The 2,253-nt window shown below is 43.9% G+C and overlaps 1 annotated feature.

Annotated features, from left to right (window-relative positions):
- Window positions 503-660: a silencer, noted in NCBI's record as "fragment chr5:54195500-54195657 (GRCh37/hg19 assembly coordinates)". NCBI's record gives its function as "represses an EF-1alpha promoter that drives an FKBP-Casp9 reporter gene in an ReSE screen in HepG2 liver carcinoma cells {active_cell/tissue: HepG2}" and the evidence as "EXISTENCE:reporter gene assay evidence [ECO:0000049][PMID:32094911]".

Here is a 2,253-nt window from a genome sequence, read left to right as displayed (position 1 = left end):
ATAGATGGTGGTGCTATTACAGAGATGAAGGGGATGAGAGGAGGACCAGGCTTGCAGAGCAGAAGTCAAGGCTTCCATTTTTGTCACATTAATTTTGAGATGACTATTTGACAACTGGGGGAAAATGGCAAGCAGGCCTATCTTATTCAGTTCAGGCTGTCATAACATAAGGCCCCATGGACTGGGTGGCTTAAATAACAAACATTTTATTTCTCATAGTTCTAGAAGCTGGGAAGTCCAAGATCAAGGTGCCTGCACATCCAGTGTCTGGTGAGGGCATTCTCCTTGGTTTGTAGACAGCTGTCTTCTCATCGTATCCTCACATGGTAGAGAACAGAGAGAGGAAGCTAGCTCTCTGGTCTCTCCCAATAAGGAAACTAATCCCATTAATGTGGGCTCCATTTTCAAGATCGAATTACCTCTCAAGGCCCCCACTCCTAATACCATCACATTGAGGGTTAGGATTTCAGCATTTGAATTTGGGCAGGGAGGTGGGGGAGAAGGCCAGACATTTGGTCCATAACAAGGGCTTTGGATACACAAGTAAGGCTGAAACCCAGGGGGCCCCTCAGAACCAGAAGTATGAATTTGGGAGTCCTTTCCATGTAGTACTTCAAACCATGGGGCGGGAAAAAATTTGTAGATGGAGAAGAAGAGAGCAGGTAGGGCTGAGCTCTGAGTGCAGAGATGGCTTAGAGGACATGGAGCTAGCAGAGGAGACTAAGCAGGTGCAGTCACTGAAGTGGGAGGTTAACACAGAGCCTGTTGCTTTATGGAAGCCAAGAAAGGAAAGGATTTCAAGGAAAGAGCAGTCAGTTTGAATGCTACTGAATGTAGGGCGAGATGAGAACAGAGAGTACCATCAGGTGTGGTGATTGGCGCTTTCTGCTCTCATCTCATCCTACCTTCAGTAGCTCAGCAGGAAACAGAAATTATACTGCCCTGATTGAATGGGTGCAAAGAGAAGGGGACATCATGTGCTTCAAAGAGTTGGATCAGAAGAGTTGGGGGGAAGTTAGGTATGGTGAAGGGACTATAATATCAGGAAAGGGATTTTTAGGATTAGAATATCCTTTTTAGCTGGAAAAATAGAGAGGGGGATATTGAAGATTGCAGGAGAGAAAGAAAAAGAGAGAGAGAGACGCCTTGAAGAAGCAGAAGGGAATGGGATCTAGAGGCAAGTGGAGGTTTGCCCTGAATAAGTAACTCTAGTGCCTGTAACAAGATGCCGGGTGCAGGGATGACGAGGCTGGGTTGAGGTTGGTCAAAAAGAGACTAAACTCCAAAAGAGGTGAGAAAGCGGAGACAGTGAAAGGAAATGACGCTTTCCAAAAGAAGACTTCTTTCTCTGTGCTAAAGGAAAGGATACATGTTGGGCTACGGAAATGGGATGGAATTTGGAGTTAAAACACTTGAGTCCCAGGATTGAGACTCATCTTAAGCTACTGAGTGTAGCTTACCTGCCCAACAGATTTTTCTGAGGGGAAAAAAGGGGCAATTCACCTACTCAAAAGAATCAAGATGTAATTATTTTCTTAGAATATCTCCACAATTTGATCATGAGGGCTTATCAAAATTTCATGAAAACAGACATTGCATGAATACTCTTAGTATCCACTTATTCATTCATTCATTCATTCCACAGATAGTCATTGAAAACCCATTATGGCCCAAGCACTGCTGCAGGCATTGGGGTTGCTCAGTGACCATACCAAGTCTCTGCCACATAGAGTTTACATTAGAGTGGGAAGGAAAACTATAAATAAGGATCTATGTATACCAGATGGTTATCAATGTTGTGGAGAAAAAGCAGCTTATGCAGAATGGAGGAGCTGTTATCTATGGTGACTATGGGAGTCCTCACCAGTTAGAGTACATTTAAGCAGAGACAGCAGCATGGGACAAGCCATGAGGACGCAGATGCTCCTCATTTTACAATGGGGTTATGTCCCTAGAAGCCCATCAGGAACCTCATAAGCCTATCATAAGTTGAAAATATTGTTAGTCAACAGTGTGTTTTCAACTTACGGTATTTTCAATTTACAATGGGTTTATCCAGATGCAACCCCATCGGGAGCTAAGGAGTGCACTGAATGTGCATCACCTTTGCACCATTCAAAGCAGAGACATTGAATGTTGAACCTTGCTAAGTTGGATGCTGTCTGTATTATAAGCATCACAAGCAGAGGAAACTGCAAGTGTAAAGAGCCTGTGTCCTTGGGGTGTTTGTCTACTATGAGATTGACTCTTCTT

Source organism: Homo sapiens, chromosome 5, assembly GCF_000001405.40.
Source record: "Homo sapiens chromosome 5, GRCh38.p14 Primary Assembly".
In the NCBI taxonomy this organism is placed as follows: domain Eukaryota; kingdom Metazoa; phylum Chordata; class Mammalia; order Primates; family Hominidae; genus Homo; species Homo sapiens.
This window is presented reverse-complemented; position numbering and strand designations above follow the sequence as displayed.